Raw genomic sequence first — 19,183 nt, forward strand, 5'->3', positions numbered from 1 at the left:
AAATAAAAACTTATCTTACTGAGTTAAGATACAAGGCATGGCAATTTAACTAATGACTAAAGAAAAATCTATTTTAGCTACAAGAATAAGAGTGGTTGTTATTCCCTCTCCAGTGCCTATTTATTTTTATTTCTTGCTGCCCAATTTGCAAATATCTAACCATGCTTAATTTTTAACTTTTGTCACATTTTGCTTCAACACTCTATGTTAGACATTCCCCAGGACTGTTTCCAGCTTTTGACATACTCCTTCCCACCTGGCCCTGATCCCCCAACACAGCCCAAGGGTAATGTTTGTTTACATCCGAAAGGAATAAAAATGACAGAACAGAATCATATTTATTTGGTCTTGCCATGGAATAGACTACAAGAACTACATCTGAGAGGACAAGGGTGAGAGACAGGGTTTTTGGGGGCTGAAATTATATGTAAGTGCAGCATTAAAAGGGCACAGGGACTCTGGAGACAGATTGCCTAGTTTTGAATATTAGGTCTGCCATTAACAAGCTATGTGACCTTGGGAAAATTACCGAAATCACTCTTTATCTAATTTCCCTCATCTGAAAAAAGGGAAGTAATAATATTACACTACTAAACAGGGTTTGTTGTGAAAATGATCTGACAATATAGGCAAAAGCATTTAGAACAGTATTGGCACATGGTAAATGGTTTATGTGTTACTGTTTTATCTACTATAGTGTAAGCTTTACAAAAGCAAGGATTTTAGTCCTTCTTTATTAAACTATATGCCTAAAATCATGCTTAGCACAGAGAAGGTGCACAGTAAGTATTCACTGAATGAATGAATGAATGAATAAGAAACATTTTGTTGTTAGAGAAAGAGAAGCAGAAAAGCAAAAGAGAAGGTAGGCTGTGCGCAGTTGCTCACATCTGTAATCCCAGAACTTCGGAGGGCTGAGGCAAGAGGATTGCTTGAAGTCAGGAGTTCGAGACCAGCCTGGGCAACAAAGTGAGACCATGTCTTTACAAAATTAAAAATTAAAAAACATTAGCCAGGCATGGTGGCGCACACCTGTAGTCCCAGCCACTCAGGAGGCTGAGGCAGGAGGATCACTTGAGCCCAGGAGTTCCAGATTGCAGCATACTATGATTGCACTACTGCACTCCAGCCCGGGTGACAGAGTGAGACTGTCTCTAAAATAAAAATAGAAGACAGAAAAACAAAGAGAATGAAATGTCCTGCTCCTCCTCTTCTACTTTTTCAAGGATGCCATCCCTCACAGACCATTTTCTCTTAGTTGTGTTGAGAGGTATAACATCAGCATTCATTGAGAAATGTTTTCAGAAACAGGTGTATAACGGCCTTTGGTGTATTTGTTTCAGAAGTTAGGAGATGACCTTATTACTCAAAATATGGTCCTCTAACCAGCAGTATCAGCATTACATAGGTCCTTGTTAAAATAGCCAATCAGCAGACAGCCAAGACCCACTCCACCAGATTCTGTACTTTAAAAAACTCCCGAAGTGAACACCCAGCATATTAAAGTTTGAGAAGTACTACTCTAGACCACTTTAAGAGCATAGGGTATAGAAGGATCAGGCTTCAAATCTAGACTCTGACACTTAATTATGTATATGACCTGAGGCAACATTATAAATGTTCCAATTTCCTCATCTGTAAAATTAAAATAATAATAGTAGTTACCTCAAAGAGTTGCTATGAGGATTAAATGAAAATCCATATGCAGCATTTGGTAGACTGCAAAGAAAACAGGATGTGCCCAATAAATGTTAGCTGTTGTTATTGTTGAAATCCCCCATTATCTACTATAAGGCCCCACAAAGAAATTTCAGCATTAACTATTAGGAATAGCTTACCTAGAAAAAGTTTGTTCTGTTTTTCTTTCTACTTTAAACTACACAATTAGTCTCCCTTCAAGATCAGTGTCAATTTTGAGGTCTTGTATTAGAAATAATTGCCTCTTAAATTTCTATTATTCTGACCTTGGTTTCCAATTCACATTTTCTCTGGCTTTGATTTTAATTGTGTATGGGAATAAGAAAATATGTGAATGAATGACCAAAATGAACAAGTAACATTAAGTTTAAACCTAGAACTAATCCTTGGAAAATACTACTAAAAAAGAATAGAAATTCAACAGGAGGCTCAGACTACTTTTAAATTATTATGCGTGGCTGGGCACAGTGACTCATTCCTATAATCCCAGCACTTTGGGAAGCCAAGGCAGGAGGGTCGCCTGAGGCCAAGTCAAGACCAGCCTGGGCAACAGAGCAAGATCCCATCTCTACAAAAAATAAAAAATGAAAACTAGCTGGGCCTGATGGCACATGCCTGTAGTCTTATCTACTCAGGAAAGGCTGAAGGGCTGGGATCACTTGAGCCCAAGAGTTCTAAGCTGCAGTGAGCAATGACTGCACCACTGTACTTCAGCCTGGGCGACAGAGAGAGATCCTGTCTCAAAGGGGAAAAAAAAGGCTTTCCTAAAGTAGTCTGTAAGTTTAATTTTAACATATGAAAAATAATTTTTCAAAGCAGAAATTGGGCTTAGAAATAAAACCACCACAGACATTTGAAATAAAACCACATAAGCAATGAAGGACGGTAATCAACATTTCGGCTAAAAGCAATGCTTAATACATAGGAACATTATTATATACTACACGGAAAGGCATAATTCCTTGTTTACAAGCAATGCTTGCAGATATGGAATGCTTTCTATAAATGGTTTCCTGAGAGCAGCAAATAAAGGAATAACATTATTTTTAGGTTCTAATCAAAACTAGCAGAAGCAAACTAAAAGCAAAGAAAACATAATAAGGAAAGCAAATTCCTTCCCTTGTCATTAAAAGGTTATCAATAACAAATATTAACTAAAAAGATGTTGGTCAAAATTTCAGTTGGTTTCTTTCCTTTTGAAGAGCTCAGGACTTGGCTCTGTCTTCCTAGAATGGTTAGAATTTGATCTGCCTAGTTAAGCAAATTAGAAAACTCAATCAGAAATCAGGTTTAACAATTACAATTATCATAGACTTAAGAGTTTTCAAAGCATAACAAAAAAATAAACAACCCAAAGAAAAAATGGACAAAAAACTTGAATAAACATTTTTCCAAAGAAGATATACAAATGGCCAATAAACACTTGAAAAGATAGATGCTTAACATCACTTGTCATTAGGAACTAATAATTACAATGAGATGCTGTTATAAAAAAACAAACAGAAACAAGTGTTGGTGAGGATGGGAAGCAACTAGAGTCCTTGGGCACTACTGGAAGGAATGTAAAATGATGCAACTGCTGTGGAAAACAGTATGTGCTTCCTCAAAAAATTAAACACAGAATTACCATATATGATCCAGCAATTCCACTTCTGGATTAAAAGAAGGGAAAGCAGGGACTCAAGAGATATCTGTACACCCAGTTCATGGCAGCATTATTCACAACGTCCAAAAGGTGGAAGAAATTCAAGTGCCCACTGATGGATGAATTGATAAACAAAATGTGGTATATACATACAATGGACAATTATTCAATAACTTATTATTATTAAAAGGAAGAAAATTCTGACATACACTACAACAGTGGTTCCCAACCTTTTGGCACCAGGAAACAGTTTCGTGGAAGACAATTTTTCTATAGGAGGTGGGCTGGGGGGATGGTTTTGGGATGAAACTGTTCCACCTCAGATCATCAAGCAGTAGATTCTCATGAGGAGTGTGCAACCTAGATCCCTTGCATAAGTGGTTCACAATAGGGTTTGTGCTCCCATGAGAATTTAACACCGCCATTGATCTGACAGGAGGTGGAGCTTGGGCGGTAATGCTCACTGGAGTGGTAATGCTCACTCGTCCCTGCTCACCTCCTGCTGTGCAATCTGGTTCCTAACAGGTTACAGACTGGTACTACTCCTTGGCCTGGGGGTTGGGGACCCCTGTAACATGGATGAACTTTGAAGACACTATGCTATGTGAAATAAGCCTGTCACAAAAGTGCAAGCATTATGATTCCTCGGATATGAATGATCAAATTCATAAGAGACAGATAGCAGAATGAGAGATGCCAGGGGCTGAGGGGAAGGAAAAATGCAGAGTTTAGTGTTTAAAACATACAGAGCTTTAACTGAGAAAGATCAAAAAAGTTCTGGAGATGGATGGTGGTGATGGGTGCATCACAACAATATGAATGTACTTAATGCCACAGAACTGTATGGTTAAAAATGGTTAAAATGGTAAATTTTATGTTATATTTTGCCACAATAAAAAAGTTCATTAAATGTCTTCACATTCCTTAGTAAAAAATATTATGTTTTGATGATCTGAACATTTTTTACTAAGATATTTTTAAATGTTCTACATAAAAGAGCAACATATTTAATATTTTTGGCCTCATTTTCTTTAAATTAAGGAAAAATCAACCTCCTTTTATAAGAAGGCTCCCAATTCAAATTGAGATAGAAATTCAGAATTATATAGTTGGGAAGAGGAGTGGAAGAATATGGAAGAGATTACAAAACAAAGCAAAACAAAACACACAAAAAAAAACCTTGTTTAGGTGTTTCTTCCTCTTTTTTAGTCTCCTCATCCTCTAAGCTGGGACTTTCCCGAGAAGAGTTGTCTTGTTGGCTAGAGTTTTTCAATAGTACAGGATCAATTTGTGCTTTCAGGAGTGCAAGAGTCTCAGCCAACTCGTTTCGATTTCTAAACAAGGAAAAAAATAAGACAGCATAAAAACCTTTTTCCTGTTCTAGAGAACTTTCTGAATAATACCAATAGAAATTAAAATAAAAAAAGAAAAATACATTAAGAACATCAAAAACACTGGTACAGCTAGCCCTAATTAACCCTGAATTTTAAAAGCACTAAGAAAAACACATTAAAATATACTGTTCTTCAGAGAAGAATATTAGATTTTCCTCTCTACTGATTGGAATGACAATGAATATCTCTTGGGTTGAAAAGAAAAGTAGGAACAAAATTACACAAAAATCAACGTTTGATAACTTTAAAAATAGTATGTAATCTCTAAGGAGATGAAATCAATGTAAAACTTGATTGCAAAAGTATTTTTTTGTTTTGTTCTTGATTCATTTGGAAATAATTCTTTTCTACCTTCAGAGATAATAGCATTTGACACTGCTACAAAATTAAGATCCAGAACTTTCTGATTACAGCAAAACATCAGTTCCAATAACACAATTTAAAAACATAAAAAATTTTGGTAGCTGATTTTATTTTGTTAATAATGGTTTATAACTGATTCCACAATACCAGAAAATTCCAAATAAATAAAAGTCTAACCTATAAATTCTACTTAAAAAAGAGACATGGTCTCACTTTGTCATCCAGGCTGGAATGCAGTGACCTGATCACGGCTCACGGTAACCTCAAATTCCCAGGCTCAAGACCCTCCTACCTCAGCCTCCCAAGTAGCTAGGACTACAGTTGTATATCCCTGTATCTGGCAAATAAAATCCTATATTTTTACTAGCAAAAACAAAGGTGTGGTATGGTTAATTTAAATGCCACTTACAACTGAGAAAACTCACTTGGATATTTTTCTTGCTCAGACAAGCAAGAAATGCTGTCAGACAGTGCATAATGCTGAAGATAAAAAGCAGGCCCTGGACTAAGAGTTGGGAAACTGAGTTCTAGATATGCCACTAGATTATTAATTAGCACCAAGATCCTCCCATCTGTGTTCTCAATGTGCGATGTAAATACCCCTGATTCAAAGTGAAAACTGTTAAGATGAAATGACTCGTTTTCTTATCTGTCATGTCACATATGGCTCCTACCCTCCTTTCCCTTTCCAATTCCATGCCAGCTAGATTCTACTGCTTTAGAGTAGGAACTCTGCATTCCAAAGAGCCCCTGGACAAGTTGTATATCCTCATTAGGCCTCAGCTTTCTTATTTATAAAATAAAAGAACAGATTCTCTTGAGTATTACTAAATTGGTCTTCTAAATAAAGCAGTAAAATTGCCACTGATAAAAATCAGAAATTAAAATGACAATCAATTATACATGAGAATAAAACATACATGTTCATACATATCATATGAGCATATATAATAACCAGTCTAGAATTTTAATTATCTAATATCAAAAGGTAAGACTAGATGTTTTCTCAAAGTCTTGTCTGGTCCTGCCTCCATTTTACAGGAAGGAAAATTAAGACTCAGAGACTTTATTTATTTTTGGCAAAGATCCAGTCCCCTAATTTCATTACAACCTGCTTCTAACTTAAGGATCTATGCTTTATTACTACTCATATTCCATTGAGAATTCCATATGTTAAAAAAAGGAAAAAGAGAATTCCATATGCAACGAATGGCTCGATCTATTTATTTCTGAAAGTCATGGTGGGAACTGAAGAGTATACTGAAGTTATGCACCATAACAATTTTAAAAAGCTTCAAAACGTAAGAGAGCTAATATTGCTAGGAAAATCTATTTCAATTACTTCCACTACTTTTTTTTTTTTTTTTTTTTGAGATGGAGTTTCACTCTTGTCACCCAGGCTGGAGTGCAATGGCAGGATCTTGGCTCACTGCAACCTCCTCCTCCTGGGTTCAAGCGATTTTCCTGCCTCAGACTCCCGAGTAGCTGGGATTACAGGCACCCATCACCACGCCTGGCTAATTTCTTTTGTAATTTTAGTAGAGATGAGGTTTCACCATGTTGGTCAGGCTAGTCTCGAACTCCTGACCTCAAGTGATCTGCCTGCCTTGGCCTCCCAAACTGTTGGGATTACAAGCGTGAGCCACTGCACCCAGCCTACTTCCACTACTTTAAGCAAAAAGGGAATTTAGCATTAAAATTTATTAAAGAACAACTCCCTAAAAGGCTTTTAATCTGTTTAATGTGTTTAAACACAAGCCTAAGGTAGTCGTTATTATATGAAAACAAAACTACCCATCTTTGGGTTTTTCCTATTTTTGAACAATTTAAAAAATCCTAAATCTGAGTTAGTCAGAGGAAATTTTTATGAATTCCCTCAAATCACATCCAAATTTCTTAACACTATGTACAGAATATTTTAGACTATGGACCCTAACAACAATCCAGTTGTTTTGCTACCCCTCCCTCACTTGTTCTCTGTTCTCCAAACCATTTCTTCTTTCAGGTATGTTAAATCAGATATATCCCTCCAAAATACCAGGCTTTCTTAGGATATCGGGTGACTGACTGCACTTCTGCTCTCTTAGCCTGGAATGTGTTCCCCATGGCTAATTCCAATTACTCTCTCAAAGACAAGTATAGAATGAATAAACAAAATCTAGTATATCTACATATGGAAATACTACTCAGCCATAAAAAGGAATAAAGTTCTGATTTATATTACACGGATAAACTTTGTAAAGATTACTCTACTTGAAAGTGGCCACAAATGGCTGGGCGTGGTGGCTCACACCTGTAATCCCAGCACTTTGGAGGGCGAGGCAGGCAGATCACCTGAGGTCGGGAGATGGAGACCAGCCTGACCAACATGGAGAAACAGGAAAGGAAAGGAAAGGAAAGGGGAAAGGAAAGGGGAAAGGGAAGAGGAAAGGGAAGGGGAAAAGGAAGAGGAAAGGGAAGGGAAGGAAAAAGGGAAGGGAAGGGAAGGGAGAAGGGAGACGGGAGAAGGGAAGGGAAGGAAAGGAAAGGGAAAGAAAGAGGCCACACACAGAAAGTCACTTATTATATAATTCTATGTATACAAAATGTTGAGAATAGACAAATTATAGACACAGAAAGATTGGTGGTTGTTAAGGGCTAGGAAAAGGGAGAATGAAGAATAACTGCTAATGGGTACAGGGTTTTCTTTTTAGGGTGAGAAAAATATCCCGGTGTTAGATAGTGGTACCAGATGCATAACTTGTAAAAAAAAAAAACTGCTCAATTATATATATTTTACAAAAAAGAGATGGTGGCTTGGACAAGAATGCAGCTATGAAGGAGAAGTGATCAAATTCTAGATACAATCATGCATGAAGAGCTGATTGGATTTGCTGTTAGGGTAGATGTGGAGTGAGAGAAAAAGCAGTTACGGATGTGCTCCAAGGTTTTGGGCCTTAGGGTTTACACTTGGTATAAAAGCACTCTCTGTAGTCCCACTCTGTTCCTGAAGAAGCACCTGATGGAATCTGGTATAAGGTCTCTATTTGCTAAATTTCTCTCATCATTAATAACCAAACACTAACACTTGGTTATTATATTTACATCTCTGCTTATCTTTTTCATTCCTAAAGAAATTCTATTGACACATTCCATAGGGTTGAGCCAAGGAAAGGATGTAGCTGCTATTAACAGAGATGGGACGTTCAGATTAGGGTAGAAAGGTTCAAAGTTTAGTTTTGGGCAGACTGGTTACTGACTTTGACTTAACCAGATTCTAAACTGTTATATTTTCCTATATGTACCTTAAGTTAATCTAGACTTCAATGAAATGGAACACGTCATCCTAACCATTATTATTGTGAAATATGATTTCTCCCAGCCTAGGAGTTGTTCAGAGTTTGAATTAGTGGTAGGTGCTAAACATTTCAGAAGCAATGAAGAAAAAAAAAATAACAAAAATAAACAGACGCCCCTGAACCCCAACCCCACAAAAAAAAAAAAGTCAAGTATAGGCATTATCTTCTGCCAAGTATGAGCCAAGTATCTGGTTCTTCCACAGCACCCTTGATAATCTCCATCACAGACTTTGTGACTCTGTATTATGTAATATCTCCCTGTACCTTTCTCCCATAACAAAAACTCCTTAACAAATGGGACCAGGTCTTCACATCTACAGAGCATAAAACAGTATAAATATAACAAGCCTTTTGTAAATATTTTAAATATATGATTCCAGAGTTGAGAAACAATATTCCAACTTTTTGGTATAAATGCCAAATTATTCAGTAGGCAAAAAAAAAAAAAAAAAAAAAAAAAAAATTGTGGAGGCCAAGAAAACTGAAGAGGCATTAATTAGTAATATCAATAGCAGTACTATTAATCTAAGATGTTAACATTAGTGAATGAGCACTATGTTCCAAGCATTAATTATTCCAAGAGTTTTATATTAATTAGTTCATATAATTCCAATATAACCCAATTAAGTAGGTATTAAATTATTCCCATTTTATGACTGAGGAAACTGAGGACACATAGAGAGGTATGGTAATTTGCCTAAGGTAAGTTAGTACAATTTAGCAAGACTGAATTTTGAAGTCTGACTTTAGAGCCCTTCTTAATCACTGTGCTATATTAGCAGGTTTTAGATATATATATATGGTTTAGAAATGCATTCATACAGTTTGTAATTATGGGTACATGAAAACTGTATATACTATTTCAAATTCAACTTTCTGAAAATGACTGTCAAACCATTATCAATTTTGAAAATATTTTTAACGAGGTATAATTCACATACTGTAAAATAAACATATTTTAAGCACTCAGTTCATCAGTTCTGACAAATGCATACATTGTGTAATCTACACCATAATCAACATAAGGAATATCACTATTCCCACAAAAATTCCCTCCTGTCCTTTCCTACTCAATTCCTTTTCCCCACCAAAGCAAGAAGAATCACAGTTTTTATTATGATAACCATAGATGATACAGTTTGGCTGTGTCTCCACCCAAATCTCATCTTGAATTGTAACTCCCACAATTCCCACGTGTTGTGGGAGGAACCCAGTGGGAGGTGATTGAATTATGGGATGTGTCTTTCCTGTTCTGTTCTCGTGATAGTGAATGAGTCTCACGAGATCTGATGGTTTTGAAAACAGGAGTTTCCTGCACAAGCTTTCTTTTCCTGCCGCCATTGATGTAAGACATGACTTGCTCCTCCTTGCCTTCTGCCATGATTTTGATGCCTCCCCAGCCATGTGGAACTGTGAGTCCAATTAACCTCTTTCTTTTGTAAATTGCCAAGTCTTGTCTTTATCAGCAGCATGAAAACGGACTAATATAGTAAATTGGTATCAGGAGTGGGGCGTTGCTGAAAAGGTACCTGAAAATGTGGAAGTGGCTTAAAAAATGGGTAAAAGGCAGAGGTTGGAAGAGTTTGGAGGGCTCAGAAGAAGATATGAAAATGTGGGAAAGTTTGGAACTTCCTAGAGACTTGTTGAATGGTTTTGACAAAAATGCTGACAGCAATATGAACAATAAGGCCCAGGCTGAGGTAGTCTCAGAATGAGATGAGGAACTTGTTCCCCAACAGGAGTAAGGGTGAGTTTTGTTACGTTTTAGCAGAGACTGGTGGCCTTTTCCCCTGCCCTAGAGATTTGTGGAACTTTGAACATGAAGGAGATGATTTAGGGTATGTGGAGGAAGAAATTTCTAAGCAGCAAAGCATTCAAGAGGTGACCTGAGTGCTGTTAAAGTCATTCAGTTTTATAAGGGAAGCAGAGTATAAAAGTTTAGAAAATTTGCAGCCTGGCAATGTGACAGAAAAGAAAATCCCATTTTCTGAGGAGAAATTCAAGCTGGCTTCAGAAATTTGCATAAGAAACAAGAAGCCAAATGTTATCCCTGAGACAATGGGGAAAATGTCTCCAGGCATGTCAGAGGTCTTCACGGCAGCCCCTCCTATCACAGGCCTGGAGGCCTAGGAGGAAAACATGGTTTCATGGATCAGGCCCAGGGTCCATGTGCTGTGTGCAGCCTAGGGACTTGGTGCCCTGCATCTCAGCCACTCCAGTCATGGCTGAAAGCTGCCAATGCAGAGCTCAGGCTGTGGCTTCAGAGGGTGCAAGTCCCAAGCTTTGGCAGCTTCCATGTGGTGCTGAACCTGTGAATGCACAGAAGAACTGGAGTTTGGGAACCTCTGCCTAGATTTCAGAAGATGTATGGAAACACCTGGATGCCCAGGCAGAAGTTTCCTGCAGGGGTTGGGGGCCCTCATGGAGAACCTCTGCTAGGGCAGTGTGGAAGGGAAATGTGGGATCAGAGCCACACAGAGTCCCTACTGGGGCACCACCTAGTGGAGCTGTGAGAAGAGGACCACTGTCCTCTAGACCCCAGAATGGTAGATCCACTGATAGCTTGCACCGTGTGCTTGGAAAAGCCGCAGATACTCAAGGCCAGCCCATGAAAACAGCCAGGAGGGAGGCTGTACAGGGGCGCAGCTGCCCAAGACCATGGGAACCCACCACTTGCATCAGCATGACCCAGATGTGAGACAGTCAAAAGAGATGATTTTGGGGCTTTAAGATATGACTGCCCTGCTGGATTTCGGACTTGCATGGGGCCTACAGCCCCTTTGTTTTGGCCAACTTATCTCATTTGGAATGGCTGTGTTTACCCAATGCCTGTACCCCCATTGTATCTAGGAAGCAATTAACTTGCTTTTGATTTTACAGTCTCACAGGAAGAAGGGACTTGCCTTGTCTCAGATGAGATGTTGGACTGTGGACTTTTGAGTTAATGCTGAAATGAGTCAATACTTTGGGGGACTGTTGGGAAGGCATGATTGGTTTTGAACTATGAGGACATGAGATTTAGGAGGGGCCGGGGCAGAAAAATATGGTTTGGCTCTGTCCCCACCCAATTCTCATCTTAAATTGTAACTGCCACAATTCCCATCTGCTGTGGGAGGAATCCGGTGGAAGGCGATTGAATTAAGGGTGCAGGTTCATTTCCTGTGAGTGAATGAGTCTCACGAGATCTGATGGTTTTAAAAACAGGAGTTCCCTGCACAAGCTCCTTCTTTGCCTGCCGCCATCAATGAAAGGCATGACTTGCTCCTTCTTGCCTTCTGCCATAATTCTGAGGCCTGCCCAGCCACATGGAACTGTAAGTCCAATTAAACCTCTTTCTTTTGCAAATTGCCCAGTCTTGGGTATGTCTTTATCAGCAGCATGAAAACGGACTAATACAATAGATTTTTAATTTTATTAATTCTAGAACTTATCACAAATGGAATCAAACAGTATGTGCTTCTTTCACATACAAGGAATTTTGAGACAAATCCATATAGTTTCATAGGTCATCCCTTTTTATTGCTTAGTAATAATTCATTGTATGAGTAATGTTAAGAATAAAGATGCTATGAACATTCTTATACAAGGCTTTTTGTAAACATGTTTTCATTTCTCTAATATAAATACCCAGAAATGAAATTTATAGGTTATGGGATAATAGTTTGTTAACATTTGAAGAAACTGCAAAACTTTCCCAAAGTGGTTGTATCATTTTACATATACAAGAAGGTGTTTCAGTTGGTTCATATCCTTGTTAACATTTGGTGCTGTAAGCCATTTTCGTTTTACTAATTCTAATGGAAGTAAGGTAATACCTCATTGTGGTTTTAATTGGAAATTCTACAATGAATAATGATGCTAAGCACTTTTTCATATGAATACTGGCTATATATATATATATTCTTTATGAAGTAACTGCTTAATAGTCTGCATATAACTTTATCTTCCTTAGTATACTTGGTACAAAAGTACTTTCTGTAGTCCCACTAAGATCCTGAAGAAGCTTGTGATGGAATCTGGTCTATGGTCTTTATTTGCTAAAATTCTCTAATCATTAATAACCAAACACTACCACCTTGTTATGTTTACATCTTTGATTTTTTTTTTTTTTTTTTTTGAGACACAGGGTCTCACTCTGTTGCCCAGGCTAGAGTGCAGTGGTACAATCACAGTTCACTGCAGCCTCAAGCTCCTGTGCTCAAGCAATCCTCCCACCTCAGCCTCTCAAGTCACTGAGACTACAGGCAAGTGCCACCACACCTTGCTGATTTTTGTATTTGTTGTAGAGACAGGGTTTCATCAAGTTGCCTAGGCAGGTCTCCAACTGCTGGGTTCAAGCAAACTGCTCACCTGGGCCTCCCAAAGTGCTGAGGTTATAGGTGTGAGCCATCATGCTGAGCCCATCTTTTTCATTCCTAAACAAATTCTATTGACATACCCCATGGAGTGAATAAAATCACTTATTACATCATATTTGATTAGATGTAAAATTTTTTTTTCTGTACTTTTATCTTCTTTCATTGAGGCCTAAAGATGAAATAATGCTTTTGTGGCAATTCTGTTTTAAACATTAACTGGAATAAGTAGGACACTGGCTGGAGCTTAAACATTTTTGCTATTGAAACCTGTTATAATACTTGATTGAGCCATATGAAATCACCATTTTTATAGGTCAAAATGTTCAAATGTTAACAATTTCATATGGTTTAATGAAACTTAACTACTTCTATTGTTTTGTAAATCACATACTAAATCTTGTTTCAACTTAAAGTATAATTATATATAAGTTAATTGCTTCCTATCTATTCATCTAATACATATATTTATATTATTATTATTACTTTTTTTGGGGGGGGGTACCAAATTTCTTCATCTGAAGGAATGGCACAAATCAAAGAACTTAGGTGGATGTTTTGGTACAACTTATAGAAAAGGTAAAGGAAACCCCAACATGCATGCACTGCCTTGGTGACCAGGGAAGTCACCCCACGGCTACGGGGAAATTAGCCGAGGCTTAGCTTTCATTATCACTGTCTCCCAGGGTGTGCTTGTCAAAGAGATATTCTGCCAAGCCAGATTCGAGTGCTCCCATCTTGTGCAAGTTGGTCACATGGTCATCCAATTCTTTGATGGCTTTCACCTGCTCATTCAGGTAATGTGTCTCAATGAAGTCACACAAATGGGGGTCATTTTTGTCAGTGGCCAATTTGTGCAGTTCCAGTAGTGACTGATTCACATTTTTTTCCAAATGTAATGCACACTCCATCACATTCAGCCCGCTCTCCCAGTCATCACAGTCTGGTTTTTTGATATCCTGAAGGAAGATTCGGCCACCTCGTTGGTTCTGCAGCTTCATCAGTTTCTCAGCATGCTCCCTCTCCTCATGAGATTGGTGAAGAAAGTATTTGGCAAAGTTCTTCAAAGCCACATCATCACGGTCAAAGCAGTAAGACATGGACAGGTAAACGTAGGAGGCACAGAGCTCTAGGTTGATCTGGCGGTTGATGGCGGCCTCTGAGTCCTGGTGGTAGTTCTGGCGCACCTGTGAGGTGGACGTGGTCCTCATGGCGGCGACTAAGGAGAGGTGGCGGCGGTGGCAGTGGCTGCGTGGCGCTGGGGCGGCGGCAGGGGCCTTGGGGCGGTCTGAGGGTGCCGTGAAGAGGTGAGGGAGGGCTGGCTATGGGCGGCCGGCTGGGGTGGGGGACGAGCACCGGGTTCCGTCCAAGCACTGTTGAAGCAGGAAACCCCGACGACTCTCGGCAAAGAACGTCTCTATATTTATATTATTAATTTTGCAACTTGCAGAAATGGAAGTTGCTACGTAACAGTACAAGTTTTAAGACTGTGGTGATGTCATGGTATGAAATTTTCAGTAGATCAACTATGTAAAATTATCCCTTTTTGGTGGATTCTCATTTTTTAAAAATTCCATTTGATGTTTAATTTGCAAAGTTCAGTTATATTTCTAAATTTATCAATCATTAAGAAGGCTGACTTATTAGCTTTAGAAAACGGAACCCTAAAGACTAGATAACTTTTGTTATATAATCCTCTTTTAAGAATTAGGTAGAAACACGTTTCCAACACCAGCCGATCACCAAGAAAATAATACTGTTACTTTAAAGAAATTGTTTTAAGAAAAAACAAGAAGCTTTTAATTTACTAGTAAAAAATAATACTTACTAGCTAAGAAAAGCACCTAAATGCAACCTATTAAATGAAAAAGTCAAAGTCAAAATCTCATTTGCTTTACTTGTTCTTCCCTTATCACTTAATTTTCTTTTTTCTTCTTTTTTGAGATGGAGGCCGCTCTGTTGTCGCCAGGCTGGAGTGCAGTGGCGCAATCTTGGCTCACTGCAACCTCTGCCTACTGGGTTCAAGTGATTCCCCTGCCTCAGCCTTCCGAGTAGCTGGGACTACAGGCACACGCCACAATGCCAGCTAATTTTTGTATTTTTAGTAGAGACGGAGTTTCACCATGTTGGCCAGGATGGTCTCGATATCTTGACCTCATGATCCGCCCGCCTTGGCCTCCCAAAGTGCTGGGATTACAGGTGTGAGCCGCCGCACCCGGCCATCACTTGATTTTCTAAAGAAATCTCTTGCTAAAAAGATTACTGCCTCTTACAAAACTCCACTTCACATAAACTTGCACGTTTAATTGAAAAATGTGTGACAACATCTATCAGTCTTAAGACAATCACTCCCCTGCAATGTAAAAGGAAAAACAAACGTTCTTGCTCCTGTCAAATTCAGTTCTGCTTCCCCATAATTTGAATCCAGTGATCCTGGCTCAGCCTTTGAGATATTCTTCTACAAATCAATCCTTTAAATGTTTGAAGACATTTATGTCTGAGTAAATTTCTGCTAGATAAAGCATTTTCAGTATTCAATCATCTTCTTTGTGGTTGTTCCCATAATGGACTTTACTATATTAATGTTTCTTTCAGAGTCTGCCATTCAAACAGAAATACCATGCTCCAGGTATGATCTCATCCAAGTCAAATGAGATGATGCCCCACATTATTTTAGGCACTAAATATATATTAGTGACAACTAAGATCTTATCTTTATGAGGAGGCAAAAATTATTACAATGTTTTCTACATTCAACCTTTGCAACAATGAGAGACCTATGTGGACAAGACAGTTTACTATATTTGTCAGTAAGAGTTCCACTGTGTTGGGTTAAAGCTAATTGGAATGTCATGTCATAGAACATCTCACTTATAATATGCATAAACACACCCAACTGAAAATTTGACATAAATTACCATCCGTCCCCAGAAAATACGCATATAATATTCACCTAAAATCTATTCTTTACAAGTTGAGGCCTTTCACAGGTGCCTGCAGCCCCTCTTAGAGATCTTAGAGCCATACTATTCACTATTACATCACCAATTGTTTAGCATAGTACCTATTACACAAGGATGTATGTAATAGAATTTATAAATTTAATGAAATAAAGGAATGTTAGTATGACAATCAGCTGTTTAAAAATTGAATTTCATTACACAAAATCAGAGAGTCAATAAACCAAATGATTTCTGAATGCTCCCAAATATTTCTGCGTTATTTGGGCAATGTTCCCTGGCTCATTGTAAATAGAAACATATGTATTCACAGATGTCATCAAAATGGCTAAAAATAACCTGGCACCATTTTCTAAAGAAATTTGTGGTTGTGAAAATGAGAAAACTATGCGATGGGTATGGTGGTTCACACCTGTAATCCCAGCACTTTGGGAGGCCACAGCAAGTGAATAGCTTGTGCTCGGGAGTTCGATACCAGCATGGTCAACATGGCAAAACTCTGTCTCTACTAAAAGTACAAAAATTATCCAGGTGTGGTGGTTCACACCTGTAATCCCAGCTACTCAGGAGGCTGAGGCAGAAGAACGGCTTGAACCCGGGAGGCAGAATTTGCAGGGAGCTGAGATCGCACCACTGCACTCCACACTGCAGCCTGGGCAACAAAGCGAGATCCTGTCTCAAAAAAAAAAAACCAAAAAACAACAACAACAACAACAAAAAAACGGAAAACTGCGTGCAGGCATTAATCTACACAAGCATTTCCTTCTGAACAATTGCCACATACACCATTTTGTTTATCAAAAACAAATTTTAACAAATGGAAAGAAGTTTTATGTGTTTTGGGGGGTGTGTGTGTGTGTGTGTGTGTGTGTGTGTGTGTGTGTGTGTGTGTTTAAAAAGAGCAGAAGCCCAAGGAACAAAACATGGAGAAATGGTCAAGCATGAGAAGAGGTGAAAGCAGAAAGCAACACCAGGGGAATTTTCTGACCTTTCTGCTGATAAATATTTCTTTAGTGAATAAACTAAATTTCAGTCTTTGGAGTTAGAAAGGTTGTAAGAAAAGCGAATAGCTGGCCAGGCACGGTGGCTCACGCCTGTAATCCCAGCACTTTGGGAGGCTGAGGCGGGCAGATCACGAGGTCAGGAGATCAAGACCATCTTGGCTATCACAGAGAAACCCCATCTCTACTAAAACTACAAAAAATTAGCCAGGTATGGTGGCGGGTGCCTGTAGTCCCAGCTACTTGGGAGGCTGAGGCAGAAGAATGGCGTGAACCCGGAAGGCGGAGCTTGCAGTGAGCCAAGATCGCGCCACTGCACTCCCGCCTGGGCGACAGAGTGAGACTCCGTCTCTAAAAACAAAAAACAAAAGAAAAGCGAATAGTTAAAAAGGTGGAAATAAAAAGAGAAAAGGTTTATTGAGCATGTATTACAGTGTCAGTACCATTTCTCATATATTCCTCACAACAACTTTTTGAGGAAGTATTATCACTTTCATTTTAAAGTACAGGAATGTAACTCTCAGAAAAATTAAGTACATTAGCCCCCCCATATCCACAGATCAAAATATTTAGAAAAAAATGAACTAAAGTTAATACAATAAAAATACAAATTAAAACTACAGTATAACAATTCTATACCTAGCATTTACAATGCATTAAGTATTATAAGTATATGGGAGGACGTGCATAGGTTATACACAAATATTATGTAAAGGGCTTAAGCATTTACACATTTTGTTATCCATGAGGGTCTGGAACCAGTGCCCCATGGATACCAAGGGACAAAAGTAATGTGTCTACAGATGGTAAGTGGATGAACCCAGATTCAAACATAACTGTTAACTCTAAAATTTCACATCATGCATTAAGGTATAATCTATTTAAAACAGTATACATTAGACATTTTTTTTTCTTTTTTTTGGAGACGGAGCCTCGCTGTGTTGCCCAGGCTGGAGAACAGTGGCGTGATCTTGGCTCACTGCAACCTCCACCTGCTGGTTCAAGCGATTCTCCAGCCACAGCCTCCCGAGTAGCTGGGATTACAGGTGTGTGCCACCAAACCCAGCTAATTTTTTTTTTTTATTTTAGTAGAGATGGGGTTTCACCATGTTGGCCAGGATGGTCTTGATCTCCTGACCGCATAATCTGCCCACCTCAGCCCCCAAAGTGCTGGGATTACAGGCGTGACCCACCGTGCCCAGCCTTCCAGTTCTTTTTATCTTGAACTCCTCTCATAAATTACACCTCTGCCTCCCGGGTTCAAGCAATTCTCCTGCCTCAGCCTCCCGAGTAGCTGGGAGTACAGGCATGCACCACCATGCCCGGCTAATGTTTTGTATTTTTAGTAGAGATGGGGTTTCACCATGCTAGCCAGGCTGGTCTCAAACTCCTGACCTCGTGATCCTCCCGCCTCGGCTTCCCAAAGTGCTGAGATTACAGGTGTGAACCACCGCACCCAGCCCATTAGACATTATTTTAAACAACTATGACTGATCAATAGTAATCGTTATTTCACTGTCATATTTTCTTCATCTACAAAGAAGAAAAGAATGTTTTAAACAACTACGCCAAGTTAATATGGGAAATAACAGAAACAGTGGTATAATGTCATGAATAGATCATATTTGTCTTTGTATTTAAAGGAGAAATGGTAAATAAATTTTAGTTTAGGACTACTTTGTTCACCTCCGTTTAGCAAATTAATTACAAGGAAAATAATGTAATGATACATGCTTATGAAACAATCTCCCATGAGATTAATCAGTACACATTTATTCTTAGGGAATGAAAATTGAGCTTTTCTACGGGTTATTTTTTCAAAGCATTAATAAATAATCACTAAGAGAAATCTGCTGAAATTCAAAATGGGGCAAAAAACAGATATGAGTTAATGTCAGGAAAGTTTTTCATAAGCTAGCGGTTAGATAGCTATGAGTTTTCCCTATTTAATAGGACCCCGATATCTTCCAAATTAATATAATTTGTGGAATATTTCTAAATAGTAAAGTTACAGTGACAGAAAACTAAAGACACAAAGATTCTGTAATAACGGTTCTAGTATTACTCATAGGGTTTAGGTTATATTTCATGGTTATATATTAAATGTTTCTGTTCAAATATATTTGTCAACACAAATAAAAAATCAAGATTTTTAAAAAGAGAACTATGACAAAAAAGTGCAATGTTCCCAAGATTTCCTCAGAACTCCAATAAAGAAATGTATGCACAGCAAATAGAATATATACTGTGTCAAGATGAACTGAATAAATTAAAATAATTAGAACTAGTTAATGCTGAATAGAAAACTATAGCTAAAGGCTGGGCCTGGTGGCCAACGCCTGTAATCCCAGCACTTTGGGAGGCCGAGGCGGGTAGATCACCTGAGGTCAGGAGTTCAAGACCAGCCTGACCAACACGGAGAAACCTCA

At 38.5% G+C, this 19,183-nt stretch overlaps 1 protein-coding gene, 1 long non-coding RNA gene and 1 pseudogene across 4 annotated transcripts in view; all 3 read right to left on the bottom strand.

The window, feature by feature from the left end:
* Positions 1 to 19,183, bottom strand: part of RSF1 (remodeling and spacing factor 1) — a 212,224-nt gene that overhangs the window by 61,014 nt on the left and 132,027 nt on the right. For all 3 annotated transcript variants that reach the window (XM_017017923.2, XM_005274051.3, NM_016578.4), the window contains exon 5: positions 4,523 to 4,677. In XM_017017923.2, the coding sequence (XP_016873412.1) occupies positions 4,523 to 4,677 (155 nt within the window). The remainder of the gene's footprint in view (positions 1 to 4,522; positions 4,678 to 19,183) is intronic.
* On the bottom strand, positions 13,293 to 14,210 carry FTH1P16 (ferritin heavy chain 1 pseudogene 16; annotated as a pseudogene).
* On the bottom strand, positions 17,147 to 18,687 carry RSF1-IT1 (RSF1 intronic transcript 1). The gene is made up of 2 exons (NR_046822.1): positions 18,166 to 18,687; positions 17,147 to 17,908 (listed from the first exon to the last, which is right to left on the bottom strand). It is a non-coding gene; the product is annotated as an RSF1 intronic transcript 1 (long non-coding RNA).

Source organism: Homo sapiens, chromosome 11 (genome assembly GCF_000001405.40).
Source record: "Homo sapiens chromosome 11, GRCh38.p14 Primary Assembly".
Lineage (NCBI taxonomy): Eukaryota > Metazoa > Chordata > Mammalia > Primates > Hominidae > Homo > Homo sapiens.